This window comes from Homo sapiens, chromosome 10 (genome assembly GCF_000001405.40).
Source record: "Homo sapiens chromosome 10, GRCh38.p14 Primary Assembly".
Lineage (NCBI taxonomy): Eukaryota > Metazoa > Chordata > Mammalia > Primates > Hominidae > Homo > Homo sapiens.
In genome coordinates this window covers 93,411,086-93,433,376 of record NC_000010.11, presented here as the reverse complement: position 1 = coordinate 93,433,376, position 22,291 = coordinate 93,411,086, and the positions used below count along the sequence as shown (strand labels likewise).

The following is a 22,291-nucleotide window of genomic DNA, read 5'->3' as shown; positions in this document are numbered from 1 at the left end:
GACCAGCCTAACCAACATGGAGAAATCCCATCTCTACTGAAAAAATACAAAATGAGCTGGGCTTGGTGGCGCATGCCTGTAATCCCAGCTACTCGAGGGGCTAAGGCAGGAGAATTGCTTAAACCCGGGAGGCGGAGGTTGTGGTGAGCTGAGATCACGCCGTTGCACTCCAGGCTGGTCAATAAGAACGAAACTCCATCTCAAAATAAATAAATAAATAAATAAAACATTCTAAATATTTCTTCTGTCCGTTTTCGGGATACATACTGAAAGCATGTGACTCTCTTGTCTTTCTGATTGGATTTCACACAAGGAACTTCCTCGCTTTACCTACTCTCATTCATGTTTCATGTTATAACCCCAATTTACAGGCTCTTTTTCACAGGTTACATTTTTATATAGACTGGCTAATGTGTGTTCTATATGTGTTTTTGATCATGTTCCCCAACTATAAAAATGTTTTGAGTATTAATTCTCAATATATGTAGACTTATTTATTCTTTCCTTCATTCAGGAACCTGCTGTTAAGTATCTACTATAATCTGGTACTGTGTTAGAGTAGTGAGTAAAACAGGCAAGAATCCCTGAGTCGAGGGGGCTTTCCTCATGAGCAGAGACATGAGGGTACTTCTGTACCAATATGTTAGGTATGATAGGAGATAGATGGGTAAGTGGCAGAGGCTGATATTATCCACCAAGTTCTAGGAAGAGAGAAGTACACACACTGAACGTTTGAATGCTGCACCATCAAACAGGGGACAGCAAGCTAACCCTATCAGTGAACTAGCAACCTATTTACAACCCTAGAAGGTCTACTTGGGGGGATATTTTCACAGTGGGCAAAGATTTATGGGTCCTTTTACATTTCTATTACAGAGAAATGCCTTCCTCTCTTACTGAATTTTGTCCTACTTTTCTCTCTTCCTGGATTCTGGCGGGGGGTAGTGGGGTGCTATATTTAGTCTTTCTTTTTTCTTTTTCTTTTTTTTTGAGACAAGGTCTCACTCTGTCGCCCAGCCTGGGTACAGTGATACAATCATAGCTCACTGCAAGCTCAACCTCCTGGGTTCAAGTGAGCTTCCCATCTTATTCTTCCATGTAGCTGGGATTACAGGCATGCATCATCACACCCCATTAATTTTTTAACTTTTTGTAGAGATGGGGTCTCATGATCTTGCCCAGGCTGGTCTCAAACTCCTGGACTCAATTGATCCTTCTACCTCAGCCTCCCAAAGTGCTGGGATTTCAGGCATAAGCCACTGTGTCTGGCCACTCTATTCAGTCTTTACCTCTTGCCCCTCTATCTCATTCATGACTGTTGAAATTTCAGGCTGAGAGTGGTGACTCACGCCTGTAATCCCAGCACTTTGGGAAGCTGAGGTGGGCAGATCACCTGAGGTCAGAGTTCAAGACCACCAGCCTGGCCAACATGGCGAAACCCCATCTCTAGGAAAAATACAAAAATTAGCTGGGCGTGGTGGTGGGTGCCTATAATCCCAGCTATTTGGGAGGCTGAGGTGGGAGAATCACTTGTACCTGGGAGGTGGAGGCTGCAGTGAGTGGAGATCACCCCAGTGCACTCCAGCCTGGGTGACACAGCAAGAGTCTGTCTCAAAAAAAAAAAAAAAAAGAAAAGAAAGAAATTTCATAGGCACCAGAGTTTGACTCTTGTAATGGAGAAGTGATGGCAGATATGTTTACTGCCAAAATGCCCTGCGAGGCTAATAGCAAAATGGCCCACATCTCATTATAGTGACTTCAATGATTTAACAGATGAAGAGGTAGGGGTTGAGAGGTCCTGAGTCATTGGAAGCCTATCTCCTACTTAGGCTGCTATGTGCTTTCCTGTTTTCCCTGCAGATTAATTGGCACGGCGACTGTAGCCCTGAAGGACCTGACTGGTGACCAGAGCAGATCCCTGCCGTACAAGCTGATCTCCCTGCTAAATGAAAAAGGGCAAGATACTGGGGTGAGTGTTTTCTCTCTTATTGAATGGCTTTGAAGTGAGATGATTGAGCAAAATTTCATTAAGAAAAAGGTCTAAGGCCGGGCGTGGTGGCTCACACCTGTAATCCCAGCACTTTGGGAGGCCAGCACTTTTGGGTGGATCACCTGAGGTCAGGAGTTCGAGGCCAGCCTGGCCAACATGCCGAAACCCCATCCCAACTAAAAATACAAAAATTAGCTGGGCATGGTGGTTGGTGTCTGTAATCCCAGCTACTTGGGAGGCTGAGGCAGGAGACTCGCTTGAACCCAGGAGATGGAGGTTGTAGTGAGCCGAGATCATGCCATTGCACTCCAGCCTGGGTGACAAGAGAGAAACTCCATCTCAAACAAAAAAAAAAAAAAAAAGAAAAGAAAAATGTCTAAATTGTCAGAACCAATTGGTAAAAAAGAAAAAAGAAAAGAAAAGGAAAAGGTATCAATTGGTAATTAGCTAACCACACACACAAAAAATCTGGTTTTGAGATTTTTCTGGTGATCTTTCTCAAGTGTGTGTGCTTTAAATAAAAAACTGGGCCCGTTTGCAAACGACATGGACCTTATTTTATACTTTCAATCACAGAACTAGCAAATTTGATAGATTTGATTTTCTATGAGATAATTCTATAGAGTGAGGGTGACCCCCTCTAGGTGTAGCTCTGTGCTTAGCCATGTGGGTGTTAACATTTGTGTGGTTATGTATAATTCTGTGTGTCAGATATTCTTTGAAACATTCTGTAGAAGGCAGTTCATTGACATAAGCTTGGAATATGAAGACTGTAATATCATAATCTTTTTTTTTTTTTTTTTTTGAGATGGAGTCTCACTCCGTCACCCAGGCTGGAGGGCAGTGGCATGATCTCGGCTCACTGCAACCTCTGCCTCCTGGGTTCAAGTGATTCTTCTACCTCAGCCTCCTGAGTAGCTGGGATTATAGGCACGTGCCACCATGCCCAGTTAATTTTTATGTTTTTAGTAGAGATGGAGTTTCACCATATTGGTTAGGCTGGTCTCGAACTCCTGACCTCAGGTGATCCTCCCACTTCGACCTACCAAAGTGCTGGGATTACAGGCATGAGCCACCACGCCTGGCCTCATAATCTTTATTACATTGGGTGCTGGATGTTTTCTGGTCACAGCCTCTCTCAATAAGTACATCTTGCTGGGCGCGGTGGCTCACGCCTGTAATCCCAGCACTTTGGGAGGCTGAGGCGGGCGGATCTTGAGGTCAGGAGATCCAGACCATCCTGGCTAACATGGTGAAACCCCATCTCTACTAAAAATACAAAAAATTAGCCAGGCATGGTGGCACGTGCCTGTAGTCCCATCTACTTGGGAGGCTGAGGCAGAAGAATCGCTCGAATCCAGGAGGCCGAGGTTGCAGTGAGCCAAGATCGCGCCACTGCACTCCAGCCTGGGCAACAGAGCAAGACTCCATCTCAAAAAAAAAAAAATTAAAAAAATAAGTACATCTTAATATTTTCTGATGCAAGACCAGAATTCTCTTTCTCTAGTGCATGTGCTTTAAAAAAAAATGACTCAAGTGTCGCAAGTCCCAGATTTCATATAATTAATAAGAAGCACTCATAAAGATACTGTACTTGGCCCATAACTTCCAACCCCTTCATTTTCCAATCAATTTATTTTTCTTGGGAGCCTGGGCAAAGGGAGAGAAATTTACATTAAAAGATGCAGTCCCTGTAAGCAAAGCTAGGCTCTCAACAGCCATATGAGAGAAAGGCAGTTTTGCTGATCTGGTCTCTAAAACTTATAGATTTGCCACAAATCAGCATTGTAATCAAAACACACATTTAAAATGTTGGCTATCATCTGTTTACCCAAAACCTAGCTGAGAGAAATGATTCTGAGGAAAGATGGTATAAGTCAATGATTTTTCTGCCTTCTTTTTTTAAAGCACAGAAGAAAGCATATGTAGACCCCTAGAATGGCAGAACTGTTGTGATTCAGTGGAGTGTGTTAGTCCATTTGGCACTGCTATAAAGGAATACCTGAGGCTGGGTAATTTATAAAGAAAAGAGGTTTATTTGGCTCACAGTTCTGCAGGCTGTACAAGCATGGCACCGATATCTGCTCAGCTTCTGGTGAGGCCTCAGGAAGCTTTTACTCGTGGGGGAAGGTGGAGAGGAAGCAGGCGTGACACATAGTGAGAAAGGGAGCAAGAGAGAAGAGGGGGAAGGGGCCAGACCCTTTTTAATAACCAGACCTTGCAATAACTAATAGAATGAGAACTCACTCATTACTGCAAGAATGGCACCAAGCCCTTCGTGAGGGATCCGCCCCCATGACCCAAAAACTCCCACCAGGGCCCAACTCCACTATTGGAGGTCACATTTCAACATGAGATTTGGAGGCAACAAACATCTGAACCATATCATGGAGTAAGGAAAGTAAATGGCCTCAAGCCCTGCCCCCTGTAATTCCTCTTACCCTTTTGGGGGTCCCTGGAGCACCTCTGGGAATCCTGAGGTTATAGAACACAGCATGAAAACCACAGATCAAGGGGGTGGTTGTCTGTGTGTTCTTCTAGGTTTGAAAAGTTTGATTCTTAGATTCAGTTTAGCAACTAAGCCCTTCAGTGCTCCCTGCGTTCAGCCATGAGATGCTGCTCTTATGATTCTTTGTGTGCTGTGAAACTGTGGCTAGGGTCGTATTCCTTATCCTGTTCAGTCCCTTCCAGAGCAGTAGTTCCAAGACACACGATGTGCCAGTATATGAGGGAGTATTCACTGATGAACAGAAAAATGGAAAAAGGGCAATGCACTGTGTGTGTGTGTGTGTGTGTGTGTGTGTGTGTGTGTGTGTGTGTTTACCAGATGTAGGAAAAGTGGCAAATGAAAGCATAGGATGTGTATTTAAATTCACATACAGGCTGGGCAAGGTGGCTCACGCCTATAATCCCAGCACTTTGGGAGGCTGAGGTGGGTGGATCATCTGAGGTCAGGAGTTTGAGACCAGCCTGGCCAACATGGTGAAACCCCGTCTCTATTAAAAAAAAAAAACAAAAATTAGCTGGGCATGGTGGCACGTGCTTGTAATCCCAGCTACCCAGGAGGCTGAAGCAGGAGAATCACTGGAACCCGGGTGTGAGGCGGAGGCTGCAGTGAGCTGAGATTGTGCCATTGTGCTCCAGCCTGGGCAACAGAGTGAGACTCTGTCTCAAAAAAAAAAAAAAAAAATTCACATAAAAAACGAATAATTTCTCAGTGTAACTATGTCCTAAATATGATGTCCTGTCCAGATGTCCAGATTTTATCTGGTCACCTTGTGTGTGTGTGCATATGTGTGTGTGTACGTGTGTGCCATCCTTATTTGCAAAGGACTCCCTTTATTCTGAGGTTTGTCTCTTCTCATTTTTGGTGTTAAAATGCCTCTCTTTTATAAAATGATTGTGATAGTAGATGATAGTTGTGGGCAGGTGTTTGGCAAAATACAAGTTAGCAACCCAATGTCGATTTCCCCTAGCAAATTGTTTGAAATTTTGTGGGTCCATGAAATTAAAAAGTACTGTATACAGCAAACTCTGCCCTAAAATAATGCTCCATGTGAGAAATTGATCTCAGCTCTTATAAGTAGGAATAACATTGTCTCTTGTAAGGAACTAGTATGTTTCCTTCTGTTGGTAGTGAAAGCTACATAATGTTTTCAGTTTCCCTTTTCATTTGGCTCTAGGCATTTCGGAGGTCACAGATTATGCAACAGAAATGGCAATTATATTTAACTTTATGGTTTGCATATTTGTTTCCTCTTTAGCCAGATTCAATTCTCCTTTTTTTATCCTATTTTATGAATCACAACTTTATATACATGTTTTGTTAGTCACTTTTTTTTTTTTTTTTTTTTTTGAGACGGAGTCTAGCTCTGTCACGCAGGCTGGAGTGCAGTGGCACGATCTTGGCTCACTGCAACCTCCGCCTCCCGAGTTCAAGAGATTCTCCGGCCTCAGCCCCCTGAGCAGCTGGGATTACAGGCACCTGCCACCAAGCCCAGCTAATTTTTGTATTTTTAGTAGAGATGGGGTTTTACTGTGTTGGCCAAGCTGGTCTCAAACTCCTGACCTTGTGATCCACCCACCTTGGCCTCCCAGTGCTGGGATTAAAAGTGCAAGCCATTGCACCCAGCCTTGTTAGTCACTTAAAGTTCTCTCTGTTTTTTTTTGTTTTGTTTTGTTTTGTTTTAAGACAGAGTCTCCCCGGGCACGGTGGCTCATTCCTGTAATCCCAGCACTTTGGGAGGCTGAGGTGGGCAGATCACGTGGTCAGGAGATCGAAACCAGCCTGGCCAACAAGATGAAACCCCATCTCTACTAAAAATACAAAATATTAGCCGGGCATGATGGTGCACGCCTGTATTCCCAGCCATTCGGGAGGCTGAGGCAGGAGAATTGCTTGAACCCAGGCGGCAGAGGCTGCAGTGAGCCGAGATTGCGCCCTGCACTCCAGCCTGGGCGACAGAGTGAGACTCTGTCTCAAAAAAAAAAAAAAAAAAAAAGACAGTCTCGTTCTTTTGCCTAGGCGGGAGTGAGTGGCACGATCTCAGCTCACTGCAACCTCCGCCCCCTTCAGGTTCAAGCAATTCTTCTGCCTCAGCCTCTGAGTAGCTGGGATTACAGGTGCCTGCCACCATGCCCAGTTAATTTTTGTATTTTTAGTAGAGACAAGGTTTCGCCATGTTGGCCAGGTTGGTGTCGAACTCCTGACCTCAGGTGATCCACCCGCTTCGGCCTCCCAAAGTGCTAGGATTACAGGCATGAGCCACCGTGCCCAGCCCTAAAATTCTTCTTTAAAAAGAAGCATGAAAATAAATCTCAGCAATTCATAATGAAATAAGCAATGAGCAAACAAATAAATTAATCATTTACAGTGACCCTCTGTAATTGTAATTCTGTGATGGGAGGGCATCTCCAGTCTAGGATGGAGGTGTGTGACAATTCACACCTGCTTGTCACAACTTTACTCTGTTGATGAGGTGGCCCCTTAGCAAGGATACACTTGGCAACCTGTGACAGGGAGCTACTTCCCCACCCTGCCTTGGCTGTCAGTGGGAGGATAGGAACAGTCGAGCTTGTGTCCCTCTCCCCGTTTCCAGCCTCGCTTACCTACTCCCTCTCTCTTACCCCTTCCAAGACTTTGGCTCCTGCTGAAGTCACTTGCATTGAGTCTATAACATGCTGGTGCCCTGCACTGATAATATTTGCAACGAATTATTTCTACCCAGGCCACCATTGACTTGGTGATCGGCTATGATCCGCCTTCTGCTCCACATCCAAATGACCTGAGCGGGCCCAGCGTGCCAGGCATGGGAGGTAAGCTGACCCTTCTGAAGGCCCAGCCACCCCCAGGGGGAGGCTGCTAAAGACACACAGGAGAGTGTCTGGAGAAACCCTGCCATTGATCACAAGCCTGTAGCTCCCTGCCCACCCAGACAGGGGCCCCGAGAGGCAGGTGGGGCTGCCTGAATTGGGACATTGCAATTGTTTATGAAATGCCCTTCAAGGTAGAGGGGAAGGGTGAACCAACCCTTTACTGAACAACCTCACGGTGAGCACAAAAAGCACATGCCGGCTCCAGCAGAATGTCCCAGGGCTTTGCTTCAGGTTTGTGGCTTCCACCCCATACAGTGTCTCCAGGCTGTTTGGCTCAAGGAGTGGCCCCTCTGCTCTCCTCTGTGTGTCTCCTCACCTCCCAAAGGTGCCACCACCGGGCTCTGCTCTCAGCACCAGTCTCATGGGCATGGCTTTCGACTGGAACCTCCTTCACTGTCTCCCCTAACCCCGGCCCCATCTTGTCCCCAAACAGCCCCAGGTCCTCTAAGCAATTGCTTCTCTTCAGCATAGCCCGCATTGTCCTTGGTCTCTGACATGGGTTGCCAGTCATTCAGGGCCATCAGGTGCCAGTCTAGGTGGGGTTGGGGCTGAGGGCTCAGGGAGGGAGGGCCTACAAGACAATCAGTCCTCTCATGCAGCTGAGTCGGACCCCCTCTCAGTGTTTTCCCAGGATGACGTGATGCTAAAAGTCTCTGTCCCTTCCTCAGCCGTAAGATGCATGACCAAGGCACAGTCTCGGCATGTGTCCCAGGAAGGGAGGGGCCCCTTATCTCACCACACTCACCTGCTTCCTTGAAACTCTCCCTCCTGGCTGGGCGTGGTGGCTCATGCCTGTAATCCCAACACTTTGGGAGGCCAAGGCAGGTGAATCACCTGGGGTCAGGAGTTCGAGACCAGCCTGGCCAACATGGTGAAACCTTGTCTCTAATAAGAATTCAAAAAAATTGGCCAGGTGTGGTGGTGAAGGCCTGTAATCCCAGCTACTCGGGAGGCTGAGACAGGAGAATTGCTTGAACCCATGAGGAGGAGGTTTCAGTGAGCCGAGATTGTGCCACTGCACTCCAGCCTGGGCAACAGAGTGAAACTCCGTCTCAAAAAAAAAAAAAAAAAAAAAAAAAAATGGAATTCTCCCTCCTGGGAGGAAGTCCTGCACTTGTTGCTGAGGTGGCTCCTCGGGGCTCATCTTCTTCTTGCTTCTCTTGGTTGGGAACTTGGCTCTCCGGCCGCCCGAGGGTTCACTTTACACCTGCAGCAGCACCCTCCCTGCCTGTCCTGCCCAGTCCCACCTGACTTCTCATCTTGCTCAGCCTGACCTCCGCCCCTGCCCCTGCTTATGCACCCATTATGAATGTTTTGGCCCATTTTTTGACTAAGTAGTTGTGAGTTTCCAGTGAGGGTTAGGTGGCTTCCTCTTGGTGACAAGACTGAGATGGCCCCAGCACATCAGCAGCATGCTCTGCCCATCGCCCTCTTCCTAGCGGCACCCTGAGCATTCTACTTGGCTTTGGACACTCAGCCCTGCGGGAGCGCTGCAGTGGCTCAAGAACATCCATGGCTCCCTTTGCTTCCACAGCAGTGATGACAAAAAAAAACAAACAAAAAACCACGAAACACAGAGGACACAGGCCAGCACCAGTAACACCATCAGGGGCAGAACTGAGTGGTCCCACCCATTTCCCTCAGACCTCCGCTGCCGATGACTATTGTCACCAGCATTTGTATCTGTGTGGGAAAGGCACTAGGCGCTTTCTGGCCTGCACAAGGCAGCCCTCATTGATGGGCTATCTGGAGTAGCCTCTGAATTGGAAAGATCAGGGCATCTTTCTTCATACTGTCGTTTCTCCTAAGCTAGACCCTGTTTATTAGTTTCCTAGGTCTGCTGTCCTAAACTACCGCAAACTGGGTGGCTTAAGCAACAGAAATATTCTCTCGCAGTTCTGGAAATCAAAAGTCTGAAATCAAGGTGTCAGCAGGGCTAGTTCCTTCTGGAGCCTCTCAGCCTTTCTCCCAGCTTCTGTTGGTTGCCCGCCTTCCTTGGCATCTGTGGCTTGTAGATGCGTCACCCCAGTCTCTGCCTCTGCTGTCACATGGTGTTCTACCTGTGTGTCTTGGTGTCTTTGTTGCTTTTTTCCCCTCTAGGATATAGCTCCTGAGTGGCTCAAGGATCTTCCTCTCTATGTGTCTGTTTTTGATTTTTTGGTTTGTTTTTTTTTTTTTTAGACAGAGTCTGGCTCTGTCGCCCAGGCTGGAGTGCAGTGGCACGATCTCGGCTCACTGCAAGCTCCGCCTCCAGGGTTCACGCCATTCTTCTGCCTCAGCCTCCCGAGTAGCTGGGACTATAGGCGCCCGCCACCACGTCCAGCTAATTTTTTGTATTTTTAGAAGAGACAGGGTTTCACCGTGTTAGCCAGGATGGTCTCAATCTCCTGACCTCGTGATCCACCCACCTTGGCCTCCCAAAGTGCTGGGATTACAGGCGTAAACCACTGCACTCGGCTTTTTTTTTTTTTTTTTTTTTTTTTTTCAGATGGAGTCTTGCTCTGTCATCTAGGCTGGAGTGCAGTGGTGCAGTCTCAGCTTATTGCAACCTCTGCCCCTAGGTTCAAACAATTCTCGTGCCTCGGCCTCCCGAGAAGGTGGGATTACAGGCGCCCGCGACCACACCCGCTTAATTTTTGTATTTTTAGTAGAGATAGAGTTTCACCATGTTGGTCAGGCTGGTCTTGAACTCCTGACCTCAAGTGATCTGCTTGCCTTGGCCTCCCAAAGTGCTGGGATTACAGGTGTGAGTCACTGCACCCGACCCCTCTCTGTGTGTCCATGTCCAAATTTCTTATAAGGCACTGGTCATTGGATTGGGACCCACCCGAATCAAGTTAAGATAAGGTCACTGTGGATTAGGGTGAGTCCTAACCTTCTCTTAAGGTCCGTAACCTTATCTTAACTGTACAGAAACCTTATTTCCAAATAAGATCACATTCTGAGGTTCCAGTGGACATGAATTTTGAGGGGACAGTATTCAACCCAGTACACTGGCAGATAAAAGACAATTTCATATGTTGATTCCATTCCAAGAGCCAAAATATTAAATGGGTCCTCTTGTGTTACCCCTTCTGCCAGGCCTTTAGGAAAAAAAAAATACTGTGGTTCATTCAAGTAAAAAGAGTAAACTTAAAGAGATCAGCGCCACACCATTTGTTAGTATTTATAAAGTAAGAACATTGCTTGCTGGGTTTATTTTATTTTATTTTTTTGAGATGGAATATTGCTTTGTCACCCAGGCCGGAGTGCAGTGACATGATCTCTGTTTACTGTACCCTCCGTGTCCCAGGTTCAAGTGATTCTCATGCCTCAGCCTCCCAAGTAGCTGGTATTACAGGTGTGCACCACTATGCCCGGCTAATTTTGTATTTTTAGTAGAGTTGGGGTTTCACCATATTGGCCAGGCTGGTCTCGAACTCCTGACTTCAGGTGAAATACCCACCTTGGCCTCCCAAAGTGCTGGGATTACAGGTATGAGCCACCACGCCTGGCCCCAACTATTGAACTTTTAAACCTGCTGGCGAGAAAATCCCTGCCACCCAAGGCTCCTTCTCCTTTCCTCTTGGTTTAAGCCTTTGTTTGTAGCACCAGTGCTCCCAGCAGGACAGTAGACTGAAGGAGTCCACCATCCCCTTAGGAGTCTGGCTCACAGCGGGCTCAGCACCAGGGAACTGCACAAGCGCAGCCCAGCTCTCCCACGGAAGTTCTTTAGAATCCCTGACTTTGCTCAGCTAAGACAGGAAATGAACCAAAACTTGGGTTCCTTGTATTTGGATTTCAAACAAAGAAGGTCACCAAGTGTTGGTCTGCAAATGAGCTGTGTCTGCAGGGCAATTTTATTTTTAAATGCAAGATGACAGAGTGAAATTTCTATGTTTGATCTTAGCCAAAAGTCTGAGAAGTAATGTGAAATTTCTTTATTACAAAAAATAAACCGGGCTCTTTGATCTGGAAGTGCTGCCTTTGTTCTATAAATGAATGTTTGCCGGGGCTCGGTCAAAGGTGGCATTCTGTGTGTCGGCTTCCTAATCTGGCTAAGAGAAACTTTCCTTCAGCATTTAAAAAAAAAAAACAAACCTCTAATAGCCTCGACTATCTAGATGTTTCAAGGGAAAACATTTCTTTTCCCTAACATAGTGTCTTAGTCTGTTTGCATTGCTATAAAGGAATACCTGAGGCTGGGTAAGTTATAAAGAAAAGAAGTTTATTTGGCTCATGGTTCTTCAGACTGTACAAGAAGCATGGTGCCAGCCTCTGCTTCTGGTGAGCGCTTCAAGAAGCTTCCACTCATGGGGGAAGGGGAAGGGGAGCCAGCATCACATGATCAGAGAGGAGGAAAATGAGAGAGAAGGCAAGGGTGCCACTCTCTTTTAAACAACCAGCTCTCAGGTGAACTCATTCATTACTGCGGAGAAGCCACCAAGCCTTTCAGGAGGGATCCACCCCCATGACCCAAACACCTTCCAGTAGGCCCCACCTCCAACACTGGGGATCAGATTTCAACATAAGATTTCGAGGGGACAGATATCCAAATTATATCACATGGTAATTCAGTTCAACTGAGCAAAAGGTATCTTTGAGCACCTACTGCAACCCCCTGCTAGGGAAGACACCAGGAGAAAAAACAACTTACAATCTTGGGGGAATATAAGACAAACAAATATGAGACAGAGAACAGCAAGACAGCCATACCTCTTGGCATTGCATACCTTAATGACATAAGCAGGACATCTGGCCCAGAATTTGCTTTTTTTCCCTTCAATTAACTTTCTTTCTTTCTTTCTTTTTTTTGAAGTGGAATCTCAGTCTGTCGCCCAGGCTGGAACGCAGTGGAGTAATCTTGGCTCATTGCAACCTCCACCTCCCCGGTTCAAACAATTCTTGTGCTCAGCCACCTGAGTAGCTGGTATTACAGGCATGTGCCACCATGCCTGGCTAATTTTTTAATTTTTAGTAGAGACAGGGTTTTGCCATGTTGCCCAGGCTGGTCTTGAACTCCTGACCTCAAGTGATCCACCTGCCTTGGCCTCCCAAAGTGCTGGGATTACAGTCATGAGCCACTGCACCCGGCCTCCCTTCAACTGACTTTTAAAGAAACCCTAAAACTTTACCATTCTATGTAAAAGTAATGTCTGCTTCTTCTGATTTATATATTTTCAAATTCTTAAAATTTGAGCTTGTTTTTCTTTCCTCGAGCAAAAAAGAAATATCTGCTTAATAAAATGTAAATGTCACAGAGATACATGACACGGAAAGTGAAAATCTCTGCGTCCCATCCTCCTGAGATAACCACTGCCAGCAACTTCTGCTATTGATTTTAAAGGTTCTTCTCCACATAGTGGCTCCTGCAGAGGAGAAATTAGAAGTATTTATGCTGGAATACAAAAGTTAAGATTTTTAGGAAAATTTGCCCCTGCCATTTGTAGAAGCTAGCTATGATCACATATCACAGGAAGTGAACACCTGAGGGCTTCTTTTTTAAGGAATTCTTTCTTAGAGCTTTTATATGAAGATGACAAAAGGTAGAGACCTTAGGGCACTGGTGGCTTGACTGAAAGTGTGTGTTGTCAAAGATGTTCTTTTCACTGACCCCCCTGGAAGACTGTTCCCATGACAGAGGGGAGGGCTGACCCAGTCTCCAGGCTTGACCTGAAAACCTGTTACCATGGCAACTTAATTCGCCAGATGTCAGTCTGCTTAACTGGAGCCTACATTCCCGTAGCTGGAAGAAACTATTTTTAAAATCTCACGTCTATTTTTGAAGCACCATCTGTTAAATTTGCGCTCTGTCCAAACATAGACATTCAAAAACTCATTCATAGCCAGACTTCACTGCTTCAAATGTCTTTCATTCCACGAATCCCAAAGTCATTTGCTTAAAATTAATTTTTTTAATGGAGTTTTTGCTCTGTTGCCCAGTGATCTCAGCTCACTGAAACCTCTACCTCCTGGGTTCAAGGGATTCTCCTGCCTCAGCCTCCCAAGTAGCTGGGATTACAGGCACCGGCCACCACGCCTGGCTAATTTTTTAAATTTTTAGTAGAGATGAGGTTTCACCATGTTGACCAAGCTGGTCTTGAACTCCCGACCTCAGGTGATCCGCCAGCCTCGGCCTCCCAAAGTGCTGGGATTACAGGCATGAGCCACCATGCCCAGCCTTAAAATTAAATTTGATCCAGTTCAGAAAATATTTATTGACACCTGCCTATGGGACATACAGAGGTGAGAAAGCCATTGTTTTACCACCAAGGAGCTTGCAGTTCAGTAGGAAGGTAAGAGATAAACATGAATAACTATAGCCCAGAGCTGAATGTAATACATTCCTCCAGAGAGATTGACCAAATTGTTATATAGGAAACAATTGCTTTCAGAAAGTACTTTTTCAGCTGTGTATTGCAACTCTGTATTCATGGTGCCTAGCACAGCCCTTGAGAAGTCATAATTGTTAATAAATGCTTGGTTGGTTGAGTGAATGAATGAGTGAGTGAATGATAGATGGGCACTGAATATGGTTTAAAAATTTTTTTTTAAGAAGGGCATTTTGGGGCCGGGCACGGTGGCTCATGCCTGTAATCCCAGCACTTCAGGAGGCCAAGGTGGGTGGATCACCTGAGGTCAGGAGTTCGAGACCAGCCTGACCAATATGGTGAAACCCTGTCTCTACTGAAAATATAAAAATTAGCCGGGCGTGGTTGCATGCATCTGTAATCCCAGCTACTCTGGAGGCTGAGACAGCAGAACTGCTTGAACCCAGGAGGCGGAGGTTGCAGTGAGCCGAGATTGCGCCATGGCACTCTAGCCTGGGCGATAGAACAATACTCCGTCTCAAAAAAAATAAAAAGAAGAAAAAAGGAAGGGCATTTTGGGGAACACTAGTGAATATGCCAAAGCTCCTGGCTCATTCAGAAGTGTGTTGAAAGTGAAGCATGTTCCTGAGGGTAGTAGGTCCCAGGCTGGGATATTTGTCCTTGATGGGAAGACCATGGGGCTCCATGAAAGGTACTCCATGACAAGGGACTGACTTGGTCAGAGCCTAACTGGAAAATGATCCATGTGCCAGAAGATTGTTGCAGGCACTGTTTCCAGGATTGGGTTTCTAATCAAGTGGCTTTGTCTAGTAAACTGATTATATTAGTCCAATTTTTCTCTAGGATATTTAGGAAAATCAAAGTGCTCATCATAAACAAGTGGTTCTCAACATTTAGACACAGTGAAATCATCAAGGGATATCTCTAAACGTGCAGTCATCTGGCGCCCATCTCCAGAGAGTTTAATATAGCTCATCTGGAGGGGAGCCCCGAGTCTGTATGGAGAGCCTGATGCAGGCAGATTTCGGAGTTCACTTTGAGAAACGCTGCAGTCGTACATTTTGCCTGCTGAACGTGATGTTGTCCAGAGGGAGACATAGATCTCTGGGCTTTGTTATCTAGACTGGCTCACAGCCTGATTCCTCAATTGCCCCGCAGGACTGCATTTGCATCCCTGCTTCTTAGGTTCCTCCATGGTACCTTTGCTCTGGTCTACATATTGGAACATGCTAGAAAATTCTTAGGGCACATTTATTGTTATTTACCCAGGAATTGGGGTGGGGTAATGAATTGCTTACAGTAGGACACAAACATTTATTTATAAAACTTTTAACATTTTAGAAATTCAGAAAAAAATTATTCTACATTCCAGCTAAGAAAATGTGTTATCTCCAAAATATTACATGTTTTCCTGCTTCAAAACTTACCCTTTCCTGTTCTGCATTGTCCTTTTAGCTTACACTGAAGATAATATGATATCAGCCCTTTGTTGTGCTTGGGCAATGACCTTTGGCTCAAAGTGATAAAATTCTGGCTTAACCAGTACCACCACTTAACAAGACTTCATCTTGAAAAGCAGAATTAGGATCAAAGGCAGAGGCCAGGCACCGTGGCTCATGCCTGAAATACCAGGACTTTGGGAGGCCGAGGCAGGAGGATCACTTGAGCCTGGGATCACTTGAGACTAGCCTGGGCAACATAATGAGACTCCATCTCTCCAAAAAAATAAAAATAGTTAGCTGGGTGTGATGATGCACGTCTGTAATTTCAGCCACTCTAGGGGCTGAGGTGGGAGGATTGTTTGAGCCTGGGAGGAGATGAGAGGAGAGGCAGAATGTTTGGATAAAGGGGGCTGCCAGGGGCTGAAGTGGGGTCTGTGTTCCAGCCAGGAGGATCCCAGTCCAGCCAGGGTGACCAGCAAGTGCTCCTTTTCCTCAGCCATTCCTAGGAGTTGCCTTCACTGGGAAGCTCTAACAGGGATCCCCCTCCCTGGCAAGGTGCAGACAAAGTGGGATGATGGAGGTGGGGGGACAATGACCTGCAGCTCTGGTGACATCTGATATCTGAGTGACTGATATCCCACTCTCTTCTGCTTGGTAGGGAGAAGTGGTGCTAGAGAACAGTATGGGAGCCTGGAGGAAGAAGGGACATTGATATGCACTGGGGAAAGGCACAGTTGGGGATGCCAAAGGCAAACTTGACTGTATCACGAGGTCCTCTAGGGCTGCCAACTCTTCAGCACTGAGTGGGTGGACAGATGCCATGTAGGCAAGTGTCATTATCACAAGTGACTGCACACAAGGGCAGTTGGCAGGAATATTGCTGCTGAGCGTCTGGAAAGAGGATCACAATACATCTCAGGAATGATTACATTGCTGGAGCTATGATGGAGAACCATTTCCAAATGTTAGCGGAAACATCACAAGTAAAGAAGAGTGGATCACATGCAGTTACTGATATTCAGAAAGGAGACAGGTCAGTGTTGGATGCAGTGAGAAGCTTTGTAGGATTTGACCAAGTGACATTATAATTATTGGAGAGGCAGGATGGCATTCCTACAAGGGAGTTGTGAAGAGCTTGTCATAGCCGGAGATGGACAGTGAGGAATCTTGAACCACTGTGAATCAACAGATCTGGATTTGAGCATTGGCTCCACTATCAAGCTGTGTGACAGTAGGCATGTCACTTAACCTCTCTGAGCCTCAAGTTCCTTTCTTACAACATCAGGAGGTTGGATTTAATAATATGTAGGGTCTCTTCCAGCTCCGAAGTTCTATGATTCTATTAAAATGGCCTGGTCATGGCCGGGTGCAGTGGCTCACGCCTATAATCCCAGCACTTTGAGAGACTGAGGTGGGTGGATCACTTGAGGTCAGGAGTTCAAGACCAGCCTGGCCAACATGGCAAAACTCTGTCTCTATTAAAAATACAAAAATTAGCCAGGCGTGGTGGTGTGCGCCTATAGTCCCAGCTACTTGGGAGATTGAGGCTGGAGAATCCCTTGAACCCAGGAGGTGAAGGATGCAGTGAGCCAAGGTCATGCCACTGCACTCCAGCCTGGGTGACAAAGTGAGACTCTGTCTCAAAAAAAAAAAAAAAAAGCCTGATCAAAGCCAGGGTTCATATATTATAAGAAGATGGGATGAGAGAAGTTTCTTTTTCTTTTTCTTTTTTCTTCAGATGGAGTCTCGCTCTGTTGCCGAGGCTGGAGTGCAGTGGCGCGATCTCGGCTCACTGCAACCTCTGCCTCTGGGCTCAAGTGATTCTCCTGCCTCAGCCTCCCGAGTAGCTGGGATTACAGGCGCCTGCCACCACACCTGGCTAATTTTTTTTTTAAATTTTATTTTTAGAGAAGGGGTTTTGCCCTGTTGGCCAGGCTGGTCTTGAACTCCTGACCTCAGGTGATCCACCCGCCTTGGCCTCCCAAAGTGGGGATTACAGGCATGAGCCACGACGCCCGGCCGAGAGAAGTTTCTTTGGTGATTACTTCTGTTTGCGAATGCCAGGATGAGCAGCTGCGCTTTGGTTCAAATAGGCTGAATCAAAGAGCAGAAAGTGTTTCAAGGATTAAATGAACAAATGCTGCAGAAAGTTTGAGTAAGAAGAGACCTGAGGCTGGACCGTTGGATTTTGCAACATGAAAGTCTTTAGTGGCCTAGACAAGAGCAGTTTTGGTGGACTAGGAGGGCAGAGGGCTGGCTGGAAGAAGCATGAGAATCAGAGACAGAGTGAAGAATGTGAGTAAAAATGATTCTTCTGAGGAGTTTGCTCCCAAGAGGGGCAGGAAAAATGGAGCAGTAACTGTAGGGGGCACCGTGGAGTCAATGAAAGTTTTGTTTTTTAATATTCTGGGTGATATTTCAGCGTGTTTATATTTTGATGGGAATGATCCAGTAGAAAGGGGGAAACCGATGAACGTATAAAGAGGCAAAACTCCTTAAGTAGCAACAGGAGATAGGATCTGTGCAAATGCGGAAGAGTTGGCTTCAAGTCAGGGAGCACAGATAGTTCAGTGACTAATTGTAGCAGGAGAGAAGGCAACAGATACAGGTAGATGATTGATTTGGAGTTGGAAAGATGTGGAAATTATCTTCTAATTGCCAATTTTCTCAATGAAATAAGAAGCCAGGTCATTAGTGGACAATGAGAAAGATAGAAAGGGTGTTGGAAGCTTTCAAGATGCAAAACAGGTGGCCGTTCAGAAAGGTAAAGTGATTTGACTGTGCTGGTTAATTAGTGGCCATCTCAGACCAGGATTCAGGAAAGTTTTGGGATAGATATCTTGGAAATGTGGTAAGATGGCCAGGCAGCCCTGTGAGGACACTTACAGTTTGTGATCAGGAAATTAAAGTGAGATCAGTCCAGTGAGATGTGTGTGCTTCCCAGCCAAGTTCAGCTGGCTGGGTGCAGAGGTGAAGTCAGTGGAGGGTTGAATAAACCAGGTAAGCACAGTGAAGTGAGAGGGGGAAAGGGATCGAGGGGCATGCAGTGGGGTGGTTGCAGTGTTAGGTGGCAGGATCTAACCTGGGGTAGGGGTAAAGCAAAGACATGGAGGAAGTGGGGTGCAGGGAAGGCAGTGTGCTCATTAGATTGGGGCTGCTTGTGGGCTGGAGTAAGAGAGGAAGCAAATTGGAAAGATACAAAAGATGGCCTCTCAGCCAGGCGCGGTGGCTCACGCTTATAATCCCAGCACTTTGGGAGGCCGAGGAGGGTGGATCACTTGAGGTCAGGAGTTCGAGGCCAGCCTGGCCAACATGGCGAAACCCCGTCTCTACTAAAAATACAAAAATTAGCAGGGCGTGGTGGCAGGTGCCTGTAATCCCAGCTACTCAGGAGGCTGAGGTAGGAGAATCACTTGAACCTGGGAAGCAGAGGCTGCAGTGAGCTGAAATTGTACCACTACACTCCAGCCTGGATGACACAGTGAGACTCCACCTCAAAAAAACAAACAAACAAACAAACAAAAACACAAAACCACAAAAAACAACAAAAAAGATGGCCTCTCTAGTGGACTGAATAGTGGCCCTCTAAAATGCATGTCTATATGGAACCTCAGAATATGACCTTATTTGGAAACAGGGTCTTTGCAGATGTAATTAGTTAAGATAAAGTCACACTAAATTCAGTGACTGTAGTTTCTTGTTTGTTTGTTTTGTTTTTTGAGACAGAGGCTCTCTCTGATGCCCAGGCTGGAGTGCAGGGGCATGATCTCAGCTCACTGCAACCTCTGCCTTCCAGGTTCAAGCGATTCTCCTGCCTCAGCCTCCCAAGTAGCTGGGACCACAGGTGCACGCCACCACACCTGGCTAATTTTTTAATATTTTTAGTAGAAACGGGGCTTTGCCATGTTGACCAGGCTGGTCTTGAACTCCTGGCCTCAGGTGATCCACCCGCCTCAGCCTCCCAAAGTGCTGGGTTTACAGGTGTGAGCCGCCAAACCTGGCCCACTTGTTCTTATGAGAAGACGGGAGGACACAGAAGGAGAAAGGCTGTGTGACCACACAGAGGCAGAGACTGGAGTTATGCAGCCACAGGCAGGGCATGCTCAGGATTGCCGGGAGCCACTGGCTAGGAAGAGACAGGAAGGATTTTTCCCTCGAGGCTTCAGAGAGAGAACGTCTCTGCCAACATCTTGATTTTATACTTGTAAGGTTTGGAACTGTCGGGGAATACATTTCTTTCTTTTCTTTTCTTTTTCTTACCTTTCTTTTTCTTTCCTTGCTCTGTCACCCAGGACAGAGTGCAAGGGCATGATCATGGCTCACTGCAGCCTCGACCTCCTGGGCTCAGATGGTCCTCCCATCTTAGCCTCCCGAATAGCTCAGACTACAGGTGTGCACCACCACACCCGGCTAGTTTTTAAATTTTTTTTGTAGAGATGGGGGGTCTCCCTATGTTGCCCAGGCTGGTCTCAAACTCTTGGGCTCAAGCGATCCTCCTGCTTCGGCCTCCCAAAGTACTGGGATTAGAGGTGTGAGCCCCTGCGCCTAGCCAGAGAATACATTTCTATTGTTTTAAGTCACCCAGTTTGTGGGACTTCCTGCGACAGCCTTCAGAAGCTAATACAACCAGCAGCTTCCTGTTCAGTGGGTGATTCCTGACTTGGTGTGGCCCTCTGTGGTTGTGAAAGAGTTGCTCTTTGTAGATCCACTTGGCTGTGGATCACATTCAGGCCTGGGTCTCACGAACAGGGCCTGCCAGCACAACTGCTAGCATTTCACTCATGACACAGCTTGCACATCAGGGTGTGTTTAACAGTGCCATAGGGGCCCCCTCATTCTTTGTGGAACCCATAGCATTCTTTGTGGAGCCCGTACCATTGTTTAATCCTCTGCAGCTTCCTGCCACATAAAGGGGAGGTTTCCTGCTTGAATATTCTTCTGCTGCAAGGCACAGAGGCTGGCTGTCACCATGGCTTAGGCTGGTTTCCTCTGACCCATCCCTTTAGCCTAAAGTCTGAATAGCAGAAGACGTTCTTTGTTATCTGCAGGCTGATTCTAGAGCATCCACTGAGAATGTAATAAGTACTTGTCCAGAGTCCAGCATTGCAAAGGGGTATGATTGACCCCGACTTTTTCTCCTGCTTACTGCCATAAACAATCACCAGCCTAAAATGCTGTAATTATGGCAAGGAGGAAGTACAAATCACCAGCCTAAAATGCTATAATTATGGCAAGGAGGAAGTACCACTTAGGCCCAGGATGATGGAAGGAAGTTCGTCTTCGCTGCTTGGAGGAACCCAACAGCTGTCAGCCCCAGCCATTGCTCGGTCCAGGACAGGTTTACCGAGGGGAAGCGCCTGGCCCCCAGTGCTTCCCCGAGGCTGGTGCCAAGGTTGGGAGGAGCACCCCTTCAGCCATCTGGGTGTTCTTTCCTGAGAGTTGTTCAGTAGTTTTTCCAAATGTGAAGGCACATTTGTGCCTGGGATCCTGTTCCCCTTCCCATTTGTTTACTCATTCCACATTTATCAAGCACTTTCTATATACTTTGTGTAATGAGTTCTGTAAGGCATGGGGCAGAAACAAAGAAGCAAAGGCAAGCTCCTTGCTTCTGAAATGCCTGGGAGTAGGGGAAGCCTATGGGTTGACAAGCAGGTGCAAGACTATGTGGTGAGGACTAGAAAGAACAATGTGTGGCGGGTAGGAGAGAGCGGGACTAACTCCATCTGGAAGAGGTGGGGAGGGCATGTTGGAAGACAGTAAGTTTCATCTGAAACTTAAGAAGGAGAGGAACTTACCTGGTAGAGAGTAGGATGAAGAAGATTCCAAGAGCTTGGATCCAGGTGCCCTAAGAGAGACAGCAGGTAAGCCCTTCTTTTGAAGTCTCTTCAAGAATAGGCAAGAGGAGGTCCAGATCATCTTGCAGAGGACAAAGATTCCTTATCTTTGACTTCCATGAGGTTTTCCCAGTAGCCTGAAAAAGATGTTGAGGTACTAGGAGCATAACATGTCCTTCACCTACAGCCTGGTTTTAAACCCAGTTTTATACCAGAGAGGCAGTGTGAAAACTTGGTCCTGGTTTTAGCTCAGCTTCTAATAACTTAACCACAGGCAAGTTGCCTTAGCTTTCTGGACCTCAGTTTTTCTGTCTGTAAAATGGGGTGAAGGGTAGGTTGGATCAAGGATCTCTAAGGTCCCTTCTAGGACAACATTCTGTGGGTCCATGGCTACTTGAAGGAAGTGTGAAGTGAGGATCTACAGAGTGTTGAGTCAAAGGATCAGAGGACAGAGTAGGGAGTCACACTCAGTGAGTAGGAGACAAAAACAGGGGCCCACAGAAGAACCTGAAAAAGCAGATCGGGGGAGGAGAGCTGCAATGATCTAAAAATATGTATATGAGCACTGGTGTCCAAGGCTGTGGAAGATCCAATATGGAGATACAGAAAAGGGCACGGAGCTTGGCAAAGAGAGGTGATTGACTTTTGAAGAACAGAAGCCAGGCTAGGATGGGCGAAGCATGAATGAATGGATGATGAGGAGCAGGGCCCACCCTGGGCTAAATTGCAAAGCAGTGCATGTGGAGGCCCCCTTTTCCCTTGTGGCTGCCTCTTCCTCACTTTGGGACCCCTGCCTGCTGTGCTGCCCATGGACTGCTCCAGTGCCCCATCCCCACACCCCCCATAGCTGGTTCCAGGAAGTGTCCTGTGCTCCAGAAGAAGCCCCTTCCAATTGCAGTGGTCTGAATGGTTGTGTCCCTCCACAATTCACACATTGAAATCCTAACCCTGAACGTGATGATATTAGGCAGTGAGGCCTTTAGGGAGGTGATTAGGTCACGGGGCCAGAGCCCTCATGCATGGGATTAGTGCCGTGATCAAAATGGGCTCAAGGGAGCTCCTTTGCTTCTTCCATCATGGGAGGCAGAGAAGGCTCCAACTGCAAACCAAGAAGTGGGCCCTCACCAGACACTGAATCCGCCGGTGCCTTGATCTTGGACTTCCCCACCTCCAGAACTGTGAGAAATAAATTTCTGTTTTCTAAAAGCCACCCAGGTTGTGGTATTTTGTTATAGCAGCCCAAGCAGGTGAAGACACCAACCAAAACTGATTACACAGCAAAACTAAAAAATAAACAGTTAATTTATTGGGTGCTTCTGTATGCCAGATACTGTGCTA

General features: G+C 46.6%; 1 protein-coding gene across 10 annotated transcripts in view; it reads left to right on the top strand.

Annotated features, from left to right (window-relative positions):
- Positions 1-22,291, top strand: part of MYOF (myoferlin) — a 175,906-nt gene that overhangs the window by 48,958 nt on the left and 104,657 nt on the right. For 9 of the 10 annotated variants that reach the window (XM_047425049.1, NM_133337.3, XM_005269694.6 and 6 more), the window contains 2 exons: positions 1,861-1,969; positions 7,219-7,306. In XM_047425049.1, the coding sequence (XP_047281005.1) occupies positions 7,300-7,306 (7 nt within the window). In that variant the 5' untranslated portion in view covers positions 1,861-1,969; positions 7,219-7,299. Of the gene's footprint in view, positions 1-1,860; positions 1,970-7,218; positions 7,307-22,291 lie in introns of those variants that run through there. The other variant, XM_047425050.1, reaches the window with a different exon arrangement.